Consider the following 24,384-nt stretch of genomic DNA (forward strand, 5'->3'; position numbering starts at 1 on the left):
ACTTGCTTCTAGCCTTGTTGCCCTCCCCCATATGGTGAGTCCACCAGAATCCTGTGCTTATGGGGCACAGTGAACTCCAGATGCAAATGCTCTGGCAAAGAGGAGTGAACACAATCTTACCTCCTCCACTGACATTCACGCTCCCTGTCCCATTGGAGTTCATTTACAAAACACAGGTTCACAGGAGGCTGAGGCAGGAGAATCGCTTGAACACAGGAGGCGGAGGTTGTAGTAAGCCAAGATCGCACCACTGAACTCCAGCCTGGGCGACAGAGCACGACTCTGTCTCAAAACAAAACAAAACACACACACAAGTTGAAAAATAAGATTATTACGAATTTTTTTTTTTTTGGAGACAGGGTCTCACTCTGTCTCCCAGGATAGAGTGCAGTGGCACGATCACAGTTCACTGCAGTCACAAACTCCTGAGCTCTAGGGATCTTCCAGCCTTAGCCTCCAAGCCCTAGACTGCAGGCGTGTGCCACCATGCCTGGCTAATTTTTATTTTATTTTATTTTATTTTTTTTTAGTAGAGATGAGGTCCTGCTATGTTACCCAGGCTGGAAGAATTTTAGGATGGCAACAGCAGATCATTAGACCAAGCAAACCTGGCCCTCTTGAGCATGGGACCTTGTGTGACTGCAGGTCGCAACCCTAGTTGTCTGGCAGTGTTTCAGTCGACATTCTTAGGAGTTTCTGCTTTTACCAGTTGAGAGACTAGCCAGGAGTGGCACGCATGAATGCCTTTATTCACTCATACTTTTTTTTAGGTATGAGCAATGTACCAGTCACTTTCTGAGGCATTGGGGCTATACCAGATTGAAAAAGGCAAGGCTGCCAGGCATGGTGGCTCACGCCTGTAATCCCACCCAGCACTTTGGGAGGCTGAGATGGGTGGATCACTTCAGGTCAGGAGTTCAAGACCAGCCTGGCCAACATGGTGAAACCCTGTCTCTACTAAAAATACAAAAATTAGCCGGGCGTGGTGGCACGTGCCTGTAATCCCAGCTACTCGGGAGGCTGAGGCACAAGAATCGCTTGAACCCAGGAGGCGGAGGTTGGCAGTGAGCTGAGATAGAGCCACTGCACTCAAGCCTGGGCAACAGAGCGAGACTCTTTCTCAAAAAAGAAAAAAGAAAAAAAGGCAAAACATGGCCTCAGTGTCAATAGTACTTACCATCTAGAGAGGAAAACCTTTTAAAGTACACAATAAATATTTATTTTATTTTTTATTTGTTTATTTTTTATACCACCAGCCTGCCCCACAACAAATATTTACATTACAGTCCTGATAGGGGCTACAAACAGAACTCCGGGAAGGGCAGGAAGACTTACCTAGGTGCGGGGGTTAGGGAAAGAATCCCGGAGGCCAAGGGTATAAGAGTCCTAGGAAGAGGAAGCAAAATATTAATAGCCTCCCAGGCTGAGGGACTAGCATATGCAAAGGCCTTGAGAGGAGCTTTGTTCAGGCAAGAAAAGAAAGAAGGCCGGCACAGCTGGAGCACAGGCGGCCAGAGGGAGGCCCGCTGTGGGGAAGGGTCGGCCTGGGGAGCTTGTTCTATGTAGCCCTTTCCCCTGACTTCCTGCCTTCACTCCCCAGTGTCCATGCTGATCAGGAATATCGAAAGATGGAAAGGCTCTTGCTCTCTTCTTATAGCAAGTCCAAGACACGTGGTGCTAGACACAGTCTACTTGGTGGAATGCTCAGGGGACTCTGGGCCCAGACCATGTGCTTGTTACCCGCTGAATTAACTATTTCCCATCATTTCCATTCGCCATCTCCAGTGAACTTTCCTATTCCTAAAATGTGGCCTCTCTTTTCTCTGATGTCTCATCACTCTCTCTCTGCTCCCTGTGACCTTTACCATGTTCTATTCTGTATTGTCTGTCTTTACGTGACTATCTTCTTATTCATCCCCACTAGACCAGAAGCCTTTTAAAGGCAAGATCTAGATGTTTCCATTGTTAAATGGCCTTACAAAGTCTTTGCGTAGAGTTGACTAAGTTAAATATACGTTTCTGTATTTTATTTTATTTTTATTTTTATTTTTTGAGACAGAGTCTTGCTCTGTCACGCATGCTGGAGTGCAGTGGCGCAATCTTGGCTCACTGCAACCTCCAGCTCCTTGGTTCCAGTGATTCTCCCATCTCAGCCTCCTATCTCAGCCTGGCATTACAGGCATGCACCACCACGCCCAGCTAATTTGTGTATTTTTAGTAGAGACAGGGTTTTGCCATGTTCGCCAGGCTGGTCTCGAACTCCTGAGCTCAGGTGATCTGCCCGTCTCGGCTACTGCACTCCAGCCTGGGAGACTTGGTCTCAAAAATAAAATATAGGCTGGGTGCAGTGGCTCATGCCTGTAATCCCAGCACTTTGGGAGGCCAAGGTGGGCGGATCACCTGAGGTCAGGATTGCAAAACCAGCCTGACCAACATGGCAAAACCCTGTCTCTATTTTTTAAAAAATTCAAAATTAGCTGGGCATGGTGGCGCATGCCTGTAATCCCACCTACTCCGGAGGCTGAGGCAAGAGAATCGCTTGAACCCGGGAGGCGGAGGTTGCAGTGAGCCGAGATCGCACATTGCACTCCAGCCTGGGCAACAAGAGCAAAACTGTCTCAAAAACAAATAAATAAATAAATAAATAAATATAAAAGAAAATAAAGAAACCGCATAGTATAATGGCTAAAATTATAGGCCCTATTTCTTTTAAGCAAAACACAAAATCCAGAAACCACAAAGGAAAACATTTGATAAATTTAACTACATCAAAAATGGAAATTTCTTCACCAGAATAAAAAATTTCACAAAGAAAAAATGCCAACTGGGAGAAAAATATTTGCAACTCATATGACAGATAATGGACTTAAAAAAAAATGGAGTTTTTACGAATCATTAAGGAGAAGCTGAATTATACATACCAGAAAAAAATACAAATTTATGTTTATATATTTGTTGGAAGTATGCAAATTCATAACAGCAAAATGCTATTTTTTTCTACTGGATTAGCAAAAATAAGGAGTTTACAATACATGGCACTGATAAGAATATGGGGAAACAGGAATTTTCACAGTGTTTGAGGAAAATGTAAATTCTTGGAACCTCTCTGGCCATATCTATCAAAATTGTAATGCGCATTACCCTTTGAGCCAGAAATTCCATTTCTAGATATTTGTCCTACAGATATACTTGTACATGTCTGTAATGACCTAAGTATCAGAATGCATATTGCACTGGGCACAGTGGCTTATGCCTCTAATCTTGACTACTCAGGAGGCTGAGGTGGGAGAATCACTTGAGGCCAGGAGTTCAAGACCAGCCTGCGCAATATAGCAGGACCCCATCTTCAAAAAAATGTTTATTGCAGCAATATTTGCAATAGCAAAAGATAAAAAGAATTTAAATTACTTTCATTGGAAAGATGGTTAAATAAATTGCATTACATTCATCCTCTGCAGCTATAAAAAATAAGTTATTTCCATATGTGCCAATTATACAAAGGATCTACAAAACATGTTAAGTGGGGGAAAAAATATGGTACACAACAGAGCGTAGAATATAATTTTGTACTTTAAAAAGGTAAGGGAAGGCTGGGCTTGGTGGCTCATGCCTGTAATCCCTACCTCTGAGGTGGGAGGGTTGCTTGAGCCCAGGATTTCAAGACCAGCCTGGGCAACATAGCAAAAAAATAAAAATGCCAAGCATGGTGGTGTATGCCTGTAGTCCCAGCTAACTTGGGAGGCTGAGATGGAGGATTGCTGGAGCCCAGGAGATTGAGGCTGCAGTGAGCTATGATTGCACTACTGTACTTTAGCCTGGACAACAGAGTGAGACCCTGTCTAAAAAAACTGGGGGAGAGGGGACAAGAAACAGAAATATACACATGTGTGCTTGTAAACACTTAGAAAATGTCTTCATATGAATGATGTCCTCTGAGAAGGGAAACAGCTAGGAGTCTGGAGTAGAACAGAGCCTTACCTTTTAATATGTACTCTTTTGTACTGTATTATCTTTTCAATAAAAATAAAAAATAAGAACACAGGCTCTGGATGTTGGAAACCTGGCTCCATCATTTTTTTAGCTGAGTAACCTCAACCCTCTAACCCTCTGTTTCTGCAAATATAAGATGGGGCTAATAACCTTCCTCTAGGCCGGGCGCGGTGGCTCACGCCTATAATCCCAGCACTTTGGGAGGCCGAGGCGGGCAGATCATGAGGTCAGGAGATCGAGACCATCCTGGCTAACACGGTGAAACCCTGTCTCTACTAAAAATACAAAAAATTAGCCAGGCGTGGTGGTGGGCACCTGTAGTCCCAGCTACTCGGGAGGCTAAGGCAGGAGAATGGTGTGAACCCAGGAGGCGGAGCTTGCAGTGAGCCAAGAGTGCGCCACTGCACTCCAGCCTGAGCGACAGAGCACAATTCCGTCCCAAAAATAAATAAATAAGTAAAAATAACCTTCCTCTATAGGACTGGCAGAAAAATTAGATCATATATAGAAAGTACCTAAAATAGTACCTGACCCAAAAAGTAGTAGTATTTGAGGCAAAAAGCCCTGGACCAGAAGTAACTTTACAAGTAGCTGCAGACAAGTCACATGACCCCCTGTGGCCCAATTGCCTCCTGTACCTAGTTGGACGAGTTGGTCCCTAAATCTCCTTACTTTTTTTTTTTAATTTTATTTTTTGAGGTGGAGTCTCACTCTGTTGCCCAGGCTGGAGTGCAGTGGCATGATCTTGGCTCACTGCAACCTCCGCCTCCCCAGCAGCTGGGATTACAGGTGCGTGCCACCACACCTGCTAATTTTTATTTTTAGTAGAGATGGGGTTTCACCTTGTTGGCCAGGCTGGACTCAAACTCCTGACCTCAAATGATCCACCTACCTTGGCCTCCCAAGTGCTGGGATTACAGGCCTGAGCCACCACACCCGGCCTCAGTTCCCTTATTTTTGTTTCCCTGTTCCGTTGAAACCTGTTTCTTGCTAGAAGTTCTAGCTCCCAAGCCAGGAGGATTTTTTAGGGAAGTAGGAGCTCCTGTGAGTAGGTACTTTTGACACCCTCCCAATTCCATATCAGACCATAAAATCGGAGCATTGGTCATGAAAAATGGAAACTGTAGTAGCAGACTTTTTTTTTTTTTTTGAGACAGAGTCTCACTCACTCTGTTGCCCAGGCTGGAGTGCAGTGGCTCGATCTCGGCTCACTGCAACCTCCGCCTCCTGGGTTCAAGTGATTCTCCAGCCTCGCCCTCTGAGTAGCTGAGATTATAGGCGTGTGCCACTTTTTTAAGATGGAGTCTAGCTCTGTCACCCAGGCTGGAGTTCAGTGGCGCCATCTCGGCTCACTGGGCTCACTGCAACCTCCGCCTCCTGGGTTCAAGTGATTCTCCTGCCTCATCCTCCCAAGTAGCTGGGATTACAGGTGCCTGCCACCACGCCCAGCTAATTTTTTATATTTTTAGCAGAAACAAGGTTTCACTGTGTTGGCCAGGCTGGTCTTAAACTATCCTGACCTTGTGATCTGCCTGCCTCGGCCTTCCAAAGTGCTGGGACTACAAATGGCAAATTTTTGTATTTTTGGTAGAGACAGGGTTTCACCATGTTGGCCAGGCTGGTCACTAACTCCTGATCTCAAGTAATCTGCCCATTTTGGCCTCTCAAAGTGCTGGGATTACAGGCATGAGCCACCGCACCGGCCTGGTGACAGATTTTTAAAGTAGGGGCAAGGAAAGGTATGACTGCTCAAGAAATAGCCTCCTAGGCCAGGCGGGGTGGCTCATGCCTGTAATAGCAATACTTTGGGAGGCCGAGGCAGGCAGATCACAAGGTCAAGAGATTGAGACCATCATGGCCAACAAGGTGAAACCCTGTCTCTACTAAAAATACAAAAATTAGCTGGGCGTGGTGGTGCGCACCTGTAGTCCCAGCTACTCAGGAGGCTGAGGCAGGAGAATTGCTTGAACCCTGGAGGCAGAGGTTACAGTGAGCCGAGATTGTGCAACTGCACTCCAGCCTGGCAACAGAGTGAGACTCCGTCTCAAAAAAAAAAAAGCCTCCTGGGTTTCATAAGATAATTGCCCGTACTGTGGGTGCCAGCAGAGGGCTTTATGGGGATCTGGGGAGGAAAATGCTGGTAATCATTTGCTCTGGGAGCAACCATATCTGGGCAGTCTTGCCTGTCTGTGGTCCTGAGGTCTCTGCCATGCTTTGGGACTGAATAAAGGAGTCTGGGAACTATGATTTGGCCTGGGAGTAAAGGGGAGCAGAAGCCCCAAGGCCATGTAGCTAGGCATGGGGTGAGTGAGAAACACAATGGGAAACCTATCTCAGTACGAGGGCTAGCGCCACCCCTGCCTCCTTCTCCAACCCAAGATGGCCATGCATTATCTTCTTTTTTTTTTTTTTTTTTTTTCTGCACCGTCATGGCTCACTTTAGCCTTGACCTCCCAGGCTCAGATGATCCTCCCAACCCCAGCCTCCTCAGTAGCTGGGACTACAGGCATGCGCCACCACACCCGGCTGATTTTTGTATATTTTGTAGAGATGGGGTTTTGCCACGTTGCCCACGCTGGTCTCAAACTCCTGGACTCAAGTGATTTGCCTGCCTTGGCCTCCCAAAGTGCGGATTACAGGCATGAGCCACTGCACCCAGCCACATTATCTTCAGGAAGTCTGTGGATGTCCTCACAGATCTCCTCAGGCAGGAGGAGAGGGCAGTTCAGTCGTACTGAGAAATGCCGGCACAGTAGACAGGCGGTCATGGCTGTCTCTCTCATGCAGGTGCTGAGCGCCGTCCTCAAGGATCTCTACCACCTGCTGAAGCACGTAGTGTGTCTGGAGCCCGATGACGTGGCCAAGCTCCATGCCCAGTTGGCCCTAGAAGAGCTGGATGACATCATGAAAAACTTCCTGTTCCCTCCACAGAAGCTGGAGAAGAAGATCATGGTCCTGCCGTAGACCTGGCTCCAAGGACGTGGAGGAGGCAGGCAGGGCCAGGCACCCAGAGCCGTGCCCAGGTCTTCCAGCAGGTGGCCCTGCTGCCTCTTGAGTGCTGGCAGCATGGCTGACCCTCGGGGTGGTTTTATGGTGCAGGTCACTTGGGTCTTCAGGGTCCCTTCCGAGGGCATGTGTTCAGCACTCCCGCGTTCAGCCTGAGGGGTGTACAGTTAAGAGAAGACAGTTACAGATCTCATTAATCTACATTTTTCACTGTCCTCTAGCATTGAAAGAAGGATGTCTACCTGGTGAAAGTATATTTTAACATGACTGATGGAATTTCACTAATTGCCCACTCTCTTGGAACTTGAGGAGAAGCGGTTGGCCACCCATATGTCACCTAGCTCTATATTCTTTCAGGCTGAGATTCTTCTTCAGGAAAATGAGGAGCAGAACTGGCCACCCTTGGCTGCTCAAGAGGCATTTCAGAGTAGGAGATGCAGTTGGAGGTGGGGAGGGGAAGGAAATAGTTATCAAATAATGCAAAATGGAATAAAGTTATCTTGGATGGAAAGAACAGGGCTAAATCTGGTCCTCTGGTGTCGAGATGGAAAACTGTGGAGTTGAAGAGGCTCTGATGCCCAGAAAGGACAATCAAGCTGGTTGACTCTTCCAGAGAAGAAGGGTAAGCCCTGTATTTATCCTCCCAGGCCATTCTTCTTCACTCCTGCTGCTGTTTGCAGAGAGTTGCCCTGATTATCAGGAGAAAAGAACCACGAGCATCCAGAGAGTTTACATCCTGCCTTCTGTCCTCTGCTCCTTCAGAAAGATGAATGCCTAGACAATGGGTTCACACTGAATGCAGGCTGGAAAGAATGCATGCTGGTGGCCTAATGCCAGGGCTGTTGAAACAATTTCAGATATAGCACTGTGGTCTCCACTTTATTTCTTTATATGTTTTGGCCGCTGCATTTTGATTGCAGCTAAAAGAGATAACAGAAAGGAGATACTGGCTGGCTGCTTCATATTAGCCCTCTCTGTTGTCAACACCTTGATGAGGCCAACCCAGAGATGCTTGATCAGTCCTCAGCTTTGCAGGGCTAGGTACAGAATTTTATCACAGGATTTTATCACGCTCTCTGGGGTGACTAGATCCACAGGAACCAAAACGCAGTTTCCAAAAGCTCGAGTGACTGAAGGATCTATACACAAACATGGCTATTTGCTAGTTAACAACAGGATATTTCTCTCTGGCCAGATCACAGACATGGTTCTGAGTCAGATCTTCCTTGGTGGCATCCCTTTAAAGAGGCCATCTTATGAACAGGATCACAAGTGAGCTTAGTGAGCAGAGAGTTAGAACAAATCTAGCTAGGTGTGTTTAAGGAATATTTCCATTCAGCTAGTGTAGCTGGATTAATTTCTATTCTCCAAATCAAGGATGTCTAGAAAATGGGCATTGTGGCTTTCAAATCTAAGAAGAATCTCCTTTGGGCCAGCTGGATGTACAATAAAAATGCTTGTTTCTTGGCCTTCCTTTAACTAGACTCCACGCAACCCACTTCAGACCAGCAGATCGAATGTGTTGCACAATCCATTTTACTTACAACTTCATTTGCATTAACCGCATTCCAGTTCTGAGGACAGATCCTGATTGACCACCTTGATTAGTCTAAGACACTATCTAGTCCAAAATCCTCGAGTGCCTCATGAAGCATCCTAGTACCTTTATCTCTATTTATAGATCACCTCTTAATTTGAACTATTTGGCAAGTGGCTGAAAACATCTGTTCTTTATTGATTTTTTTTGAGGTGGGGTCTCACTACGTTGCCCAGGCTATTCTCAACTTCTGGACTCAAGCAGTCCTCCCCCCTCAGCCTCCTGAGTACCTGGGATTACAGGTATGTGCCATTATGCCTAGCTCTTTATTGATCTATTTCTTCTTTCTTTCTTTTTTTTTTTTTTGAGACAGAGTCTCACTGTGTCACCCAGGCAGGAGTGCATTGGCACAACCTTGGCTCACTGCAACCTCCAACTCCTAGGCTCAAGCATCAGCCTCCCAAGTAGCTGGAACCACAGGTGCGCACCACCATGCCTGGCTAATTTTTGTGTTTTTTAGTAGAGACAGGGTTTCTCCATATTGGCCAGGCTGATCTTGAACTCCTGGCCTCAGGTGATCTGCCCAACTTGGCCTCCCAAAGTGCTGGGATTACAGGCATGAGCCACCGTGCCTGACCTTTATTTTAAGACAGTTTTGCTCTGTTGCCCAAGCTGGTATGGAGTAGTGCAGTCATGGCTCACTGCAGCCTTGACCTCCTGGGCTCAAGGAATTCTCCCACCTCAGCACCCCCGAGTAGCTGGGATCACAGGTGTGCACCACCATGCCTGGCTAATTTTTAAAATTTTAGCAGAGATGAGGTCTCGCTATGTTGCCCAGGCTTGTCTCAAACTCCTAGGCTCAAGCAATCCTCCTTACTCGGTTTCCTAAAGTGTTGGGATTACAGGCATGAGCTACCATGCCTGGCCAATTTTTTTTTCTTTTTAACAGACAGGGTCTCACTTTGTCACCCAGGCTGGAGTGAAGTGGCATAATCATACCTCACTGCAGCCTTGACCTCCTGGGCTCGAGCAATCCACCCACCTTAGCATCCCAAGTAGCTGGGACCACAGGTGTGCACTATTGCACCTGGCTAATTTTTTTTTGTAGAGACAGGGTCTTGCTATGTTGCCCAGGCTGGTCTTGAACTGCTGGCCTCAAGCAGTCCTCCCACATTAGCCTTCCAAAGCACTGGGTTTATAGGTGTGAGCCCCCACACTGGGCCCTAATGTAATCCTCTTAAACATGACCAAATTATTAAAAATTTTCAGATTTTCTATATTATGTGTGTGTGTGTGTGTGTGTGTGTGTGTGTGTGTGTGTGTATGAATGATAGTCCTTGGGAAAGAATGTTAAAACTTTAGGATAATAAAAGCACAAAAACGGCCGGGCACAGTGGCTTACGCCTGTAATCCCAACACTTTGGGAGGCCGAAGTGGGCAGATCACCTGAGGTCGGGAGTTCGAGACCAGCCTGACCAACATGGAGAAACCCCGTCTCTACTAAAAATACAAAATTAGCTGGGTGTGGTGGCGCATGCCTGTAATCCCAGCTACTCAGGAGGCTGAGGCGGGAGAATCGCTTGAACCTGGGAAGCAGAGATTGTGGTGAGCCGAGATTGCGCCATTGCACTCCAGCCTGGGCAACAAGAGCGAAACTCTGTCCCAGAAGATAAATAAAAGCACAAAAACTTAAACGAAATACACGGGAACAAAAGTGACACTTCCCTACATGGACCCTGTGAGGTGTGTCTTGCCTCCCATCCCCACCCTGCTCTTCTCCCTCAGAGACCACCTTCCCACCTCCCACCGCCCCTTCTGCTGCCGCCTCCACCTGGCTTGCTGAGGCTCTGCTGGCCCCTCACCTTCGGCGTCCTCCACCACCCAGCAGCCTTTCTCCTAGATTCCTCTGTGGCACTCACTCAGCCTTGTGCTTGGTCCCGTGCTGCCTCCTCTCCTTTTTCCCCTTCTAGGCTCTTCCTCCTCTTCCCAGGCCCGCCATCCACCACCCCCTTGCTCTACAGGGGATGGCTCAGCCACAGGAGACATGCAGAGGCCCCACTTGTGGCTACAGCCAAACCCCAGGCTTCTGCCCAAGCTTCAACTGCTTTTTCAGGTTAGACTTCCTGAACATTCTGGAGAGTTTCCCCTCTCTGCTTTGTTTTTCTTCCTCCTTGGCACAAACTTGCCCTTCTCCAAGTTCTCTGTTATTTAATCAGAAATCTCTTAACTTTTGCTTTGCTCCTTATCATCTCTCCACACTCATAATTTCCCATATTTCCCAATCTCCTCTTCCACGTCCCTTGCTTTGTTGTTGCTTTTTTTTTTCTTTTTGTATTTTTAGTAGAGACAGGGTTTCACCTTCTTGGCCAGGCTGGTCTTGAACTCCTGACCTCATGATCCACCTGCCTTGGCCTCCCAAAGTGCTGGGATGACAGGCATGAGCCACCGCACCCGGCTTTTTTTTTTTTTTTTTTTTTTTTGAGACAGAGTTTTGCTCTGTTGCCCTGGCTGGAGTGCAATGGTGCGATCTTGGCTCACTGCAGCATCCGCCTCCCAGGTTCAAGCAATTCTCCTGCCTTAGCCTCCCAAGTAGCTGGGATTACAGGCATCTGCCACCACGCCCAACTATTTTTTTGTATTTTTAGTAGAGACAGGGTTTCGCCATGTTAGCCAGGCTGGTCTCCAACTCCTGACCTCAGGTGTTCTGCCCGCCTCGGCCTCCCAAAGTGCTGGGATTACAGGCATGAGCTACTGCACCCGGCCCTTGCTTCGTTTGTTCACCCCTCTCCTCCACTTCTTTGCTTTCCTATGGCTCTGCCTGCTCATCCACATGTAAGAGCCAGTGTGCCAGGGACTGGGGTGTAGGAAAGCAAACCACAAGCAACGACAACGATTTATCGAGCACCTATTACGTACCAGATGCTGCACTGGGCCCTGAGAACACAACAGTGAACAAAACAGAACTCTTACCCTCGGGGAGAGTTTATGAGGCAGTGGAGGGAGACAGATAACAAATAAGATAAACAATGTCAAGTGGGGCCGGGCACAGTGGCTCACACCTGTAATCCCAGCAATTTGGGAGGCTGAGGCAGGCGGATCACCTGAGGTCAGGAGTTTGAGACCAGCCTGGCCAACATGGCGAAACCCTGTCTCTACTAAAAATACAAAAATTAGGCAGGTGTGGTTGGGCGCGCCTGTAATCCCAGCTGCTCAGGAGGCTGAGGCGGGAGAATCACTTAAACCCAGGAGGCAGAGGTTGCAGTGAGTGAGACTGTGCTACTGCCCTCCAGCCTGGATGAAGAGCAAGACTCCATCTCAAAAAAAAAAAAAAAAAGAAAAGACAAGAAAAAAAAGTAAAGTGGTGAGAGATGCTATGGAGAAAATAAAGTCAGGAGGGAGGAGCGTGGGAACAGTAAGTTGAGATTTGTTGTTCAGAGGTAGCCTCGCTGAGAAGTTGCTATTTGAATAACGATCAGGTGAATTAATGAGCACTAAAATAATGGGGAAAGAGTGTTCCAGGTAATGGGAACAGCAAGTGCCAAGGCCCAGAGGTAAGAGCAGGTCTCAGGAGGAAGGGGTGCTGAAGTAAGAGGATCGCTTGTGTCCAGGAGTTTGAGGCAGCAGTGAGCTGTGACTGCACCTCTGCACTCCAGCCTGGGCAGCAGAGTGAGACCCTGTCCCCAAAATGGAAAAAATAAAAGAAATGCATATAACCATACCCAGCCAGTTTTTTCCCCTCCATAAAAAGGAAGCAGTGATCCCCAGCCCTTTTCATGCCACCCCCCAACTTGGCCTCGGTGGCTCTGTTGTTTCAGCTCCTCTTCTCTGGTAGCAGCAGTTTCTCCTCTTTGGCTCAAAAAGGAGAGCAAGCGTGTTGATCTACCCTGGGTCCATCCACCTGTTTTGTCTCTTTGTCTGCGAGGGTGACTGAATGAAGTGCTGCCTGCCACCTGACTGTGCCTCTCACCCAACTGTTTGCCGCATTGGAGGGCTGGCTACAACATGTGAAAGTGGATCAATTGATAAGTCGAGAGATGAGTCATCTGACCTGTGCAAAACCAGATAAGCTTCTGCAGTCTTTGCACAGAAATCTAAAATCTCGGCCAGAATTTCTGTGGCAAAGGGAGAGAGTCAGAAACCGGAGCTGTGAGAGGTGCCACATTTCCCTGACTATGAGGGGTCTTCTTCCCCAATACGCCCCTTCCCCCAGCAGCAGCTTTGACCTCAGAGGGCCTGGCTGTGTCCTCAGCAAGCTCTGCAGCTACAGACATGCTGCAGTCACATGCAGCAGCCACACTGCAGTGCGCGGCACCTCTGCCTGCCATGCTCCACTCTGTTGGAACTGAATCACCGCTTGGGGGTTGGGAACCTGTGTTGCTCCTTACAATACCCGGTGCTGCCTCTTTCCTGCAGGCAGAGCTCAGGGCTGTGCTCAGCGCCCTCTGCACAGGCTGGCAAGGTGAGAGGGGAATGCAGACCCCACCTTCGGCCCTGGAAAGCTGAAACATCATTAGGGAGGTCATCCCCTGTTGTCCTCCCCAGTTCTTCATAGGGAGTCCGTAGCTCCACGCTACCAGGCCTCAGTTTTTGTGCCCCTCCTCCAGAGTGCCCTCTGCGGTTCTTTGTAACACAGTGTTGCAAGATCAGTGTTTGCATTTCCTTTATTTTGGAAAGTCATTTTCCATCCATAAGCTTGTCTGATTCTCACAACAATCTTGAAGAACAGGGAGGCAGGCTCTTGACATCCTCCCTTGGTGGGATTTGGCTCCAAGTCTGCTGGGTCGCAGCCAGGAGCCTGTTTACTACATCGGAAGACCCTCCATGAAATGTTTTGAACATCTGTTGAATACAATGGAGCTTCTTCCCACAAAGTGAGTACAGAAGTACAAGCCTTTCAAGCAGAGTAGAGTTTGAGATGCAAACTCAGGTACTCACATATACACATGAATCCCAACACGTGGGGCCCACCAAGAAGGCGTTTGTGCTCCACTGACACATGGTCGGCGCTGCCTACCACCTCCCCCGTGCTGGCCCTCTGCCCTCCAGTCTGAGGAGTGGTACAGCCCGCAGGTACAATGCCTGGCTGCTGTGCGTATTTGTGTACATTTTCAGATGATACGTGATGTGACTTAGAACAAGTTTAATGTATCTGTAGTTTGTAATATGTGCACTTGGCACTTTTTTTTTGGAGACAGTCTCTCTCTGTCACCCAGGCTGGAGTGCAGTGGCACAATCACAGCTCACTGAAATCTCTATTTCTCAGGCTCAGGTGATCCTCCCACCTCAGCCTCCTGAGTAGCTGAAACTACAGACGTGCACCACCACACTGAGCTAATTTTTTTTTTTAGACGGAGTCTTGCTCTGTTGTCCAGGCTGGAGTGCAGTGGTGCAATCTCGGTTCACAGCAACCTCTACCTCCCGGGTTCAAGCAATTCTCCTGCCTCAGCCTCCCGAGTAGCTGGGACTACAGGGGCGTGCTACCACGCCTGGCTAATTTTCGTATTTTTTAAAAAGTAGAGACAGGGTTTCGCCATGTTGCCCAGTCTGGTCTCAAACTCCTGGGCTCAAAAGATCCACCTGCCTCGGCCTCCCAAAGTGCTGGGATTACAGGTGTGAACCACTGTGCCCAGCACGATACATATTAATTCCCTTGACCCTCACACTCTGAGATAGGTCTTACTATGACTACAGATGGGAAAACTGAGGCACACAAGAGGCAAATTACTTGCCCAGATTACATGACCAGTAAGGAGTAGCCAAACCAGTATTTGGACCCAGGTAGTCTTTCTCCAAAGGCTGTGCTTTTTACACTGTGCATTGCTGCTGCCCAAGAGATACCGTATTTCCAAAGAAAGAAAAATTCCCACGATCTCACCTCAACTCCTGCCCAAGATTACCACTGACAACTGGTGCAAAATCCCTCTAGATCTTTATTTATTACCATATTTTATTACCCCAAATAGTGCCCCGCATCATTTTTTCTGAGTCATATACCTTGGAGACACTCATATCAGTACTCACAGATCTCTTCCTTTGTGATGATGGCATGGCTTCCATTGTTTGGGTAAACTGCAGCTTAATCATTTGTTTATTGATGGTTCCATTGACTTGTTTCTAATTTCCAATGGTTTTTCAATGATTCTCAGACATAACTTTGCATACCGAAACGTTTCTATGCAATAGGTCTTAAAAGGTTGGAGTGCCAGATCAAAAGCGTATAACCATTTCAAATGTTAGTACCAAATGTCCCCCCAAAAGTTTGTACCAATCTACATTCCCCCACCCTCAGCTGACTTTGCTTTAACACCCATGAAATGCAAGTTCAGTCTCAAAGCAGTGTTGATACCATTCTCTAAATAATTCAGGACTAGGAAGCCTTCAGGGCTGGAGTTTTCTGTGTACCAAAACCAACAACAGGGACACGCTAATATGCTTTGCAAGTTACACCCACCAGCAGCCGTGTCCCAGGTGCAAATACTAATTAGTGGCTTATAATTACTAGTTCGTGGCTTATACATAGTCATCCGGGAGAGAAATCTTGAGCCCCTGCAGGTCTATTTAAAAGAGGTTTCTCATCTCTGAGACTCTGCCCTTGGTGTATAGGGTATGCCTTCTCATGGGGTTTGGAATGGCCCTAGAATAATGACTATATTTCCCAAACCAGATTCAGGACATAAGGTCTGATGGCCCCTTAAAGTACGGGTTCATCTGGAAAGCCCAGGTTGAATGGTTGTACCTCTGCATCACTGTATGTCAAGATCACAGTTACAGTTAACACTAAAAAGCTTATTATGCCCTTCTGTGTACTTAACACATATTAATCCCGTTAGCCCTCACACTGGGCCTGTGAGATAGGTCTTACTATGACCCTGTTCTACAGATAGGAAAACTGAGGCACACACGAGGCTAATTGCCTCAGATTACATAGCCAGTAAGAAGCAGCCAAACCAGTACTGGACCCAAGCAGTCTGGCTCCAAAGGCTGTGCTTTTTCCCACCGTGCTTGCTGCTACCGATACATAGATACTGTATTTCCAAATTGTTAAAATCTGTTCTTAGTATAAGTGTGGATAAAGAAAGTGGTTCCCACGTGGTGGTCACACCTGTAATCCCAGCATTTTGGGAGGCCGAGGCAGGTGGATCTCTTGAGATCTGGAGCTCAAGACCAGCCTGGCCAACATAGTGAAACACCGTCTCTACTAAAAATGTAAAAATTAGCGAGGTGTGGTGGTATGCATCAGTAGCCCCAGCTACTCGGGAGGCTGAGGCAGGAGAATCACTAGCCCAGGAGGCAGAGGTTGCAGTGAGCCAAGATCGTGCCACTGCACTCCAGCCTGGGTGACAGAGTGCAACTCCGTCTCAAAAAAAAAAAAAAAAAAAAGTGATTCCCTGCTTGTTTAAATGGAACACCTATGTCAACTTAAGCTTTAACCCAAATAGCCTCAAAAGAGTGTCCTAGTACATCAAAACCCAACCTCAAGCCAGGCACGGTGGTTTGTAATCCTAGCTACTCAGGAGGTCTTGGCAGAAGGATCATTTGAGCCCAGGAGTTTGAGGCCAGCCTGGGCAACATAGCAAAATAATCTCTGGGAAAACAACCACAGAAACAACCTCAGACACCAAAATTTGTTATACCTCTTGAGTTTGACCTTGTAGTTTGCCCAGAAGCTGGGAGGAGGTGTGTGAAAGCTCCGCAGCCCACCTGCTCCTGCACTTTGGCAGCTTTGGTAAATTGCTTATGGAAAGGCTTCTTTTGTAGAGTGGCCAAGATAGTAAACATCTAAGACTGCCTTCCTGGGAGCAGAGGAGGCAGAAAGCCATGTGGCAAATGTGCAACATAGAAAATGTAGCAAGTCTTCCCATGAACTCCAGAAATGTCTTCTTTGAAGATTGTTGCTTTCCCATCCATTTCCTATAAGCAGGGCTTCAATTTTCAGATACCATTCTCAGAATAACATTGTATCATTTTTGTTTGTTTTTTGTTTTGTTTTTTGAGACAGGGTCTCTGTCACTCAGGCTGGAGTGCAGTGGCGCAATCTCGGCTCACCTGCAATCTCCACCTCCCGAGTTCAAGCGATTCTCCTGCCTCAGCCTCCTGAGTAGCTGGGATTACAGGCGCATGCCACCACACACAGCTACTTTTTGTATTTTTTAGTAGAGATGGGGTTTCACCATGTTGGCCAGGCTGGTCTTGAACTTCCGACCTCAAGAGATCAGTTCACCTTGACCTCCCAAAGTACTGGGATTATAGGCATGAGCCACTGAGCCCAGCCTACAGTGTATCTTTTTTTTTTTTTTTTTTTTTTTTGAGACGGAGTTCCACTCTTGTTGTCCAGGCTGGAGTGCAATGACATGATCTCGGCTCACCGCAACCTCCACCTCCCGGGTTCAGGCATTTCTCCTGCCTCTGCCTCCCGAGTAGCTGGGATTACAGACATGTGCCACCACACCCGGCTAATTTTGTATTTTTAGTAGAGACGGGGTTTCTCCATGTTGGTCAGGCTGGTCTCGAACTCCCGACCTCAGGTGATCCGCCCACCTCAGCCTCCCAAAGTGCTAGGATTACAGGCATAAGCCACTGCGCCCGGCCTACAGTGTATCATTTTTAACAGTTATTCCTTGCAAGAAGCTCAAAGCATAAATACATTAATAGCTCTATTCCCATACCATTCCTTGAGAGAGGAAAAAGAAGCTGGGTTAATGGCCCTCTTTGAAGAAGGGAAAAATAAGGTCCAGAGAGGTCAATTATTGCAAATAAAAAATCAGTCAGTTGGCCAGCCCCTAACTCCAGCACAGAGCTGCAGGAGGCTGAGGGCAGGAGCTGCTGATTTCAGGAGAGAGTGGTTTGCAGAGTGGGTGTGGTGCCGGAGCACAGGAGCACCTCTTCTGGGGAACTAGGAAAGCTACTGGGCCTTTAAGTGGTTTATTAAATGATGTCAGATTTCGTCTTTACTGTCTACCTTAAGAGCAGGAGGCAGCTCAGGAGAGCTCCTGGGTGGGGTTTTTCTAATGTATTATCACACACACAGGTAGCCACCTGGCGCTGGGGAGAACAAAGCAGCCTGCTCTGCACTCCCAGAGTCTCTAGAGCCACCCCCACCACACACACACACCTTCACTGGACCACACACCACCTTCAAAACTTCAAAACTTGGCGACCATGTTAATCCTAGAGAAAGGCCAGCCTGAAAATAGGCTGTCTATGAAGAGAAGCGAATGGGAATGCTAATGTTTCAGAGACCTGAGGTTTTTGCTGTTCCAAGATTTCAAAGGACAGGTGCTAAGTTGTGTGTCTTTCTCTGTGGACAAGACCAGGGCGGTGTGATAGACAGAGTAATGGGGACTCCATTCCCCAAAAGAGAGCAGCTCAGACCCCTCATGAGTCTCTAGAGACTATCCTTCCCCATCCTTTGGGTGGGGAAATCCCCACAGTGCAGAAGTTCTGTCCTTTAGAAAACAAAGTGAATCCAAGTTGTTTTGACAGTTCTGTCCTCCTACAGACAAGGGCTGGCTGGGTTTTTCCCAGTTCTGGAAAAAGGCAGACAGCAAACTGAGTGAACAAAACGGTTGTTGAAATCTAATTCCAGGTGTATCGGAGAGACCTGGGGACTCATCTCGTCCATCTGATCCTGTTCCTCTGTTTCTCCCCGGCTCTCCTTCCTAATTTCCAGCTCAAATCCACATCCTTCCTTCTTTTATTTTGTTCCTTCTGGCTTGACAGCTCACTAGTCCATTGTTAACTTTTTTTTTTTTTTTTTTTTGAGACAGTGTTCGCTCTGTCACCCAGGCTGGAGTGCAGTAACACAATCTCAGCTCACTGCAACCTCTGCCTCCCAGGTTCAAGGGATTCTTGTGCCTCAGCCTCCCAAGTAGTTGGGATTACAGGCACGCGTCACCACACCTGGCTAATTTTTTTTGTATTTTTAGTAGAGAGAGGGTTTCGCCATGTTGGCCAGGCTGGTCTTGAACTCCTGGCCTCAAGTGATCCACCAGCCTCAATCCCTCAAAGTGCTGGGATTACAGGCTTGAGCCACTGCACCCAGCCCATTGTGAAGTTTTTAAGGTTAGTAAATTAAACAGGTGCCAACACCGTGGCAGGCCTGGTGCTGGAGGAAAATGGACAGACACTCTTCTTACGTGCTCTAGAGCTCACCGCCTGACTGGCTGGCTCTTGACTGGCCTCTCGGTGCCAGAAATGCACTTGTAAGTCTCCGCTGAGGAGAACCCTCGGGCTGTGTTCTCAACCCTGGATGCAGAATAGAATTGCCTGGGGAATTTTTTTTTTTTTTAATCAAGCCTGGGGTCCACCCCCAGTGATTCTGATTAAATTGATCTGGGATGGGTTCCAGGCATTCATGATTTTTAAAAGCTCTACAGGTTTTCAAAGTCTACTGTGCAACACCCTGCCAGACATGGGAATCACTACATTGGCTTATCTGATGAGAAAAGAAAATCAGGGAGTGGGGGTCCTAGCCAAAAAAAAAAAATTAACTGCTGCAAGTAGGACATATTTTGGCAGGGGGTCCCCTCCAACAAAGGCACCGATGGGAATGGCCCCTACCCTCAGCTTCGCTCTAACTGCTTTTATAAAGGGTCTAACTTTGGACCTCCTGTGTGACAGTGACTAATGATGTCTTTCATCAAGAAAGAAGACAAAGCAGAAGTGCCAGCACAATTAAGAATTGTGGGGCCATGGCTGGGCGCGGTGGCTTACGCCTGTAATCCCAGCACTTTGGAGGCTGAGGCAGGTGGATCACTTGAGGTCAGGAGTTTGAGACCAGCCTGACCAACATGGTGAAATCTCATCTCTACTAAAAATACAAAAAATTAGCCGGGCACACTGGTGCGTGCCTGTAATCCCAGCTACTCAGGAGGCTGAGGCAGGAGAATCGCTTGAACCTAAGAGGCCGAGACTGCAGTGAGCAGAGATCATGCCACTGCACTCCAGCCTGGGCGACGGAGTCAGACTCCGTCTCAAAAAAAAAAAAAAAAAAAAGAATTGTGGGGACATGGCTGGGCACGGTGGCTCACGCCTGTAATCCCAGCACTTTGGAGGTGAGGCAGGTGGATCACTTGAGGTCAGGAGTTTGAGACCAGTCTGGCCAATGTGGTGAAACCCTGTCTCTACTAAAAATATTTTTTGACAATTAGCCAGGTGTGGTGGCACACGCCTCTAGTCCCAGCTACTTGGGAGGCTGAGGCAGGAGAATTGCTTGAATCCGGGAGGCGGAGGTTGCCGTGAGCAAAGATCACACCATGCATTCCAGTCTGGATGACAGAGGGAGACTCTGTCTCAAAAAAAAAAAAAAAAAAAAAAAAAAAAAAGAATTGTGGGGCCAGGCTTGGTGGCTCACACCTGTAATCCCAACACCAATTTTTTTTTTTTTTTTTTTTTGGAGACGGAGTGTCGCTCTGTCACCCAGGTTAGAGTGCAGTGGCGCCATCTCGGCTCACTCCAACCTCCGCCTCCCGGGTTCAAGTGATTATCCTGCCTCAGCCTCCCGAGTAACTGAGACTACAGGCAAGCACCACCACGCCCAGCTGATTTTTTGTATTTTTAGTAGAGATGGGGTTTTATCATGTTAGCCAGGATGGGCTCAATCTCCTGACCTCGTGATCCGCCCACCTCAGCCTCCCAAAGTGCTGGGATTACAGGTGTGAGCCACTGCGCCCAGCCTAATCTGAGGTGGGAAGATCGCTTGATCCCAGGAGTTCGAGACCAGCCTGGGAAACATGGTGAAACCCCATCTCTACAAAAAAATACAAAAAGTAGCCGGGCATGGTGGCACGTGGTCCCAGCTATTTAGGAGGCTAAGGTGGGAGGATCCCTTGAGCCCGAGAAGTTGAGGCTGCAGTGAGCCGTGATTGCACCACTGCACTCCAGCCTGGGCAACAGAGCAAGACTGAGAAAAAAAAAAGAATTATGGTTGATTTTATTGTAACAAGAGCCAAACAAGCCGGGTGTGGTGGCTCATGCCTGTAATCCTAGCACTTTGGGAGGCCGAGGCAGGTGGATCACAAGGTCAGGAGTTCAAGACCATCCTGGCCAAGATGGTGAAACCCCGTCTCTACTAAAAATACAAAAGTTAGCCAGGGATGGTGGCAGGCTGAGGCAGAGAATTGCTTGAACCCAGGAGGGAGAGGTTGCAGCGAGCCAAGATCAGGCCATCGCACTCCAGCCTGGGTGACAGAGCGAGACTCTTTCTCCAAAAAAAAAAAAAGAGCCAAACAAATTCGGAACAAGCTTACCTTAAGTGTAGACAGGGATTGTGTTCCACCACTCTGGGAAGGAGTGTGCACTTGTGTGTCCATTTTGTGTCACGTAACTACATGTGTGTGGTGCAGACACTTGCGTGGGAGTAGGCTTACAATGCGCACAGGAGAGAACCTCTCCCTGGGACTTCCCTGGGTGGGAGGACATTGCTGCTGACATCACCAGGCTTGGAAATCCTTTCTTCAGGGAAAAGCCTCCTTCTAGGGGAATCCTAGAGCCGTATTTAGCATGTGCCTCCCCCTCTTGCCCAGGACCACTGTGGTCCTCAATGAGGAGGTGAGTGTGGACTGCCCCAGCTGGGGTGTGCCAGCCAAGCCATGTGCCTTTTTATAATTCCCTCAAAGGTGCCCAAAGAGCTGGCATAGCTCTGCAGACTCCGCCTTTCCCTGCTACATTCTCTCAAAGGAACAGTGGGAGGAATTTACATAAAGGAAATCACTCTGGTTTTGGCTACCACTAATCCTAAATCCTGGCCCTCCCACTTTATTTACTGCTTTCACTGTAAACTGAGGTTGTGAAACCTTTTTCACATGAATCCATGTATGATAGAGACTGCACCCCACCCTGCCCGGGCTTATAAGGAAATCCTGCCAGGCGCGGTGGCTCATGCCTGTAATCCCAGCACTTTGGGAGGCCGAGGCGGGAGGATCACGAGGTCAGGAGATCGAGACCACAGTGAAACCCCGTCTCTACTAAAAATACAAAAAATTAGCTGGGCATGGTGGCAGGCACCTGTAGTCCAAGCTACTCAGGAGGCTGAGGCAGGAGAATGGCGTGAACCCGGGAGGCAGAGTTTGCAGTGAGCCGAAATGGCGCCACTGCACTCCAGCCTGGGTGACAGAGCAAGACTCCGTGTCAAAAAAAAAAAAGGAAATCCTGTGAACTCAGAATTTATCTTCATTTTTTTTTTTACAACATGGGGTCTCTCTGTGTTGTCCAGGCTGGTCTCAAACTCCTGGACTCAGGCAATCCTCCCACTTCAGCCTCCTGAGTAGCTGGGACGACATGCACATGGCACTGTGCCTGGCCTTAAAATACCTTTTTATTACAAAATTGTTTTACTTATTAATAGAAATTTCAGAGAAAAAAAATCCATTGTTCTACCACTTGATTTTAATATCAAACCTATTAATATATTATCAAACCTGATTTTTTTTTTTTTTTTTTTTTTTTTTTAGTTTCACTCTTGTTGCCCAGACTGGAGTGCAGTGGCACAATCTCGGCTCACCACAACCTCCGCCTCCCAGGTTCAAGCGATTCTCCTGCCTCAGCCTCCCAAGTAGCTGGGATTACAGGCATGCACCACCATGCCCAGCTAATTTTTTATTTTTAGTAGAGACAGGGTTTCTCCATGTTGGTCAGGCTGGTCTCGAACTTACGACCTCAGGTGATCTGCCTGCCTCTGCCTCCCAAAGTGGGATTACAGGTGTGAGCCACTGCGCCCAGCCTGAACCTGATCTTTTTTTTTTCTTTTTAAGACAGAGTCTCGCCCTGTCGCCCAGGCTGGAGTGCAGTGGCGCGATCTCGGCTCACTGCAAGCTCCGCCTCCCGGCTTCACGCCATTCTCCTGCCTCAGCCTCCTGAGTAGCTGGGAATACAGGCTAATAAAAAATTAGCCCAGCTAATTTTTTGTATTTTTAGTAGAGACGGGGTTTCACCGTGTTAGCCAGGATGGTCTCGATCTCCTGACCTTGTGATCTACCCGCCTCGGCCTCCCAAAGTGCTGGGATTACAGGCGTGAGCCACCGCGCCCGGCCAAACCTGATCTTAATGATCAAACCTGACCTTGATATTTGGGTGAACTTCTCACCTGCCTTTAATTCATTTTTTTTTTAGATGGTGTCTTGCTCTGTCGCCAGGTTGGAGTGCAGTGGCGCAATCTCGGCTCACTGCAACCTCTGCCTCCCGGGTTCAAGCGATTCTACTGCCTCAGCCTCCCGAGTAGCTGGGACTACAGGTGCACACCACCATGCCCAGCTAATTTTTGTATTTTTAGTAGAGGTGGGGTTTCACCATGTTGACCCGGATGATCTCGATCTCCTGACCTCATGATCCACCCACCTCAGCCTCCCAAAGTGCTGGCATTACAGGCGTGAGCCACCGCGCCCAGCCTAATTCATACGATTTTAAAGAAAACAACAACATAAATGCAGGTATGCATACATAACGATTGTGTCTCCTGTTCGTTACTTAACACTGCATCGTAGGTGTCTGGAGTATTCCTCCATTGTCCTCATGAACGTGTTTTTTTAGTAGCTGCACAATATTCCACTAAAAAGATAAGTGTTGAAAATTGCCTTCTGGGTTTTTTTTTTTTTCTACACTCACCTAGGGGAGGGAGAGAAAAGAAAGATGGCTGGGAAGAGCTTTTTCTGTTTAGGATTCTGAGAAAAGCATCTCCAGGTCTGATTTGATATTCGGTTATCGGTCTAGTGTGCCCCTCCTAATCCTGACCTTCAAGCCAGCATAAAAGAACCTGGCCCCTTAGCAGGGGCTGACCGCTTTGCCTCCAGCAGAGCAGAGGCCCCTTAATTTGAAATGAAACGATTCTTCCATCAAAGGAGAGGGAGACTGGAGTTAAAATCGAACCATTCTAACGGCAGCACAGGAAAGTCCTTAAGCCTGCTTCTTCAAACATAGCACCTGGAAATGGTCCTGATTACACAGTGCTTGTCAGTAAGAGGGGAAAGTTATGAAAGAATAACTTTGTTTGGTGGTAGCTGCCTTGCTGTAGTCAAGGCACACACTTTCCACTTTGAATTATGTATTAACTAGCATTGCAGCTGAAGCCGCCTTGAAGAGAAAGCCCTGTTTGGGCAGCTGCGGGAACATAACCTGCTACTATTCGGGAGCCATTTTCAGTTCGCCCTCCTTAGCTTCAAGAGGTTTTCATGGTGGTCAGCCCAGGGAAAGTGGATGGGGATGAAACTTGGAGGGTTGGAGGCAGCCTGGGTAGCTTGGCTGCCATCCTCCATTCTGTTTTGCTTTGCTGGAAGTGATGGGCTGGATGCCAGGGAGGAGCAGTGAAGCGTTAAGGGCAGAGGGTGAGGGGGCAGCCTATAGAGCTTGGATGCCCCTCCTCCCGCCTCCCCTGCTCAAGCCACTCACTAGGAGACAGCGGAGCAGAACCGTGGGACGATGGAGCACCTGGGTCCTGGCAAGGTTGCTCTGCAGCTTCCGGCACTGGTGATGACAGAGAGGTTACGGGTGCAGGATATTTGAGCATTTCGTGAGTTTGGATTTGGAATTTCATTGAAAGGTGAAATCTTTGTGGAACTGTCAGCTTCAGTTACCTCCAACCTGCTAAAGCTTTGAGAAAGGCCCCTTGAACTCTCTGCACCGTCGAGTACTTTTCTCTTGGTTATGCCTCCAGTGTTGGAGGATTATTCCTGGCGTGCAAGGCACTCATTTAGGATTATTCCTTGTCACTGCCTGTGCTCACCTCCACCTCCAGAAGGCAGCACCCACACTTCTCATCGTGGCTTCTCCTCAGCCTTTTATTGTTGCATCTGCCTCCTAACAGATCTCCCATACCCCATTCCTAGTCCTTACCCCAAAATGCTGCCAGCCCAACCTTC

At 47.9% G+C, this 24,384-nt stretch overlaps 2 protein-coding genes across 6 annotated transcripts in view, besides 6 other annotated features; both read left to right on the forward strand.

Moving 5' to 3' along the window:
• Positions 1-8,475, forward strand: part of TANGO6 (transport and golgi organization 6 homolog) — a 241,652-nt gene extending 233,177 nt beyond the window's left edge. For all 3 annotated transcript variants that reach the window (NM_024562.2, XM_047434633.1, XM_047434634.1), the window contains one exon: positions 6,778-8,475. In NM_024562.2, the coding sequence (NP_078838.1) occupies positions 6,778-6,954 (177 nt within the window). In that variant the 3' untranslated portion in view covers positions 6,955-8,475. The remainder of the gene's footprint in view (positions 1-6,777) is intronic.
• Positions 1,209-1,728: an enhancer, noted in NCBI's record as "OCT4-NANOG-H3K27ac-H3K4me1 hESC enhancer chr16:69111819-69112338 (GRCh37/hg19 assembly coordinates)". NCBI's record gives its function as "activates a minimal SCP1, AML or CMV promoter by ChIP-STARR-seq in naive and primed H9 embryonic stem cells {active_cell/tissue: H9 hESC(naive and primed)}" and the evidence as "EXISTENCE:reporter gene assay evidence [ECO:0000049][PMID:30033119]".
• Positions 6,777-24,384, forward strand: part of HAS3 (hyaluronan synthase 3) — a 35,236-nt gene continuing 17,628 nt past the window's right edge. Inside the window, exons 1-2 of one of the 3 annotated variants that reach the window (XM_047434047.1) lie at positions 6,777-7,618; positions 22,643-22,959. The gene's annotated coding sequence lies outside the window, so the exon portion shown is untranslated. Of the gene's footprint in view, positions 7,619-8,745; positions 8,836-22,642; positions 22,960-24,384 lie in introns of all 3 variants that reach the window. The other 2 variants (XM_047434046.1, XM_047434045.1) reach the window with 2 other exon arrangements.
• Positions 12,265-12,494: an enhancer, noted in NCBI's record as "active region_11035". NCBI's record gives its function as "activates an Ori minimal core promoter by ATAC-STARR-seq in GM12878 lymphoblastoid cells {active_cell/tissue: GM12878}" and the evidence as "EXISTENCE:reporter gene assay evidence [ECO:0000049][PMID:35858748]".
• Positions 12,265-13,244: a biological region, named in NCBI's record as "H3K27ac-H3K4me1 hESC enhancer GRCh37_chr16:69122977-69123854".
• Positions 12,367-13,244: an enhancer, noted in NCBI's record as "H3K27ac-H3K4me1 hESC enhancer chr16:69122977-69123854 (GRCh37/hg19 assembly coordinates)". NCBI's record gives its function as "activates a minimal SCP1, AML or CMV promoter by ChIP-STARR-seq in naive H9 embryonic stem cells {active_cell/tissue: H9 hESC(naive)}" and the evidence as "EXISTENCE:reporter gene assay evidence [ECO:0000049][PMID:30033119]".
• Positions 21,105-21,930: an enhancer, noted in NCBI's record as "H3K27ac-H3K4me1 hESC enhancer chr16:69131715-69132540 (GRCh37/hg19 assembly coordinates)". NCBI's record gives its function as "activates a minimal SCP1, AML or CMV promoter by ChIP-STARR-seq in naive H9 embryonic stem cells {active_cell/tissue: H9 hESC(naive)}" and the evidence as "EXISTENCE:reporter gene assay evidence [ECO:0000049][PMID:30033119]".
• Positions 23,355-23,856: an enhancer, noted in NCBI's record as "H3K4me1 hESC enhancer chr16:69133965-69134466 (GRCh37/hg19 assembly coordinates)". NCBI's record gives its function as "activates a minimal SCP1, AML or CMV promoter by ChIP-STARR-seq in primed H9 embryonic stem cells {active_cell/tissue: H9 hESC(primed)}" and the evidence as "EXISTENCE:reporter gene assay evidence [ECO:0000049][PMID:30033119]".

Source organism: Homo sapiens, chromosome 16 (genome assembly GCF_000001405.40).
Source record: "Homo sapiens chromosome 16, GRCh38.p14 Primary Assembly".
Taxonomy (NCBI): Eukaryota; Metazoa; Chordata; class Mammalia; order Primates; family Hominidae; genus Homo; species Homo sapiens.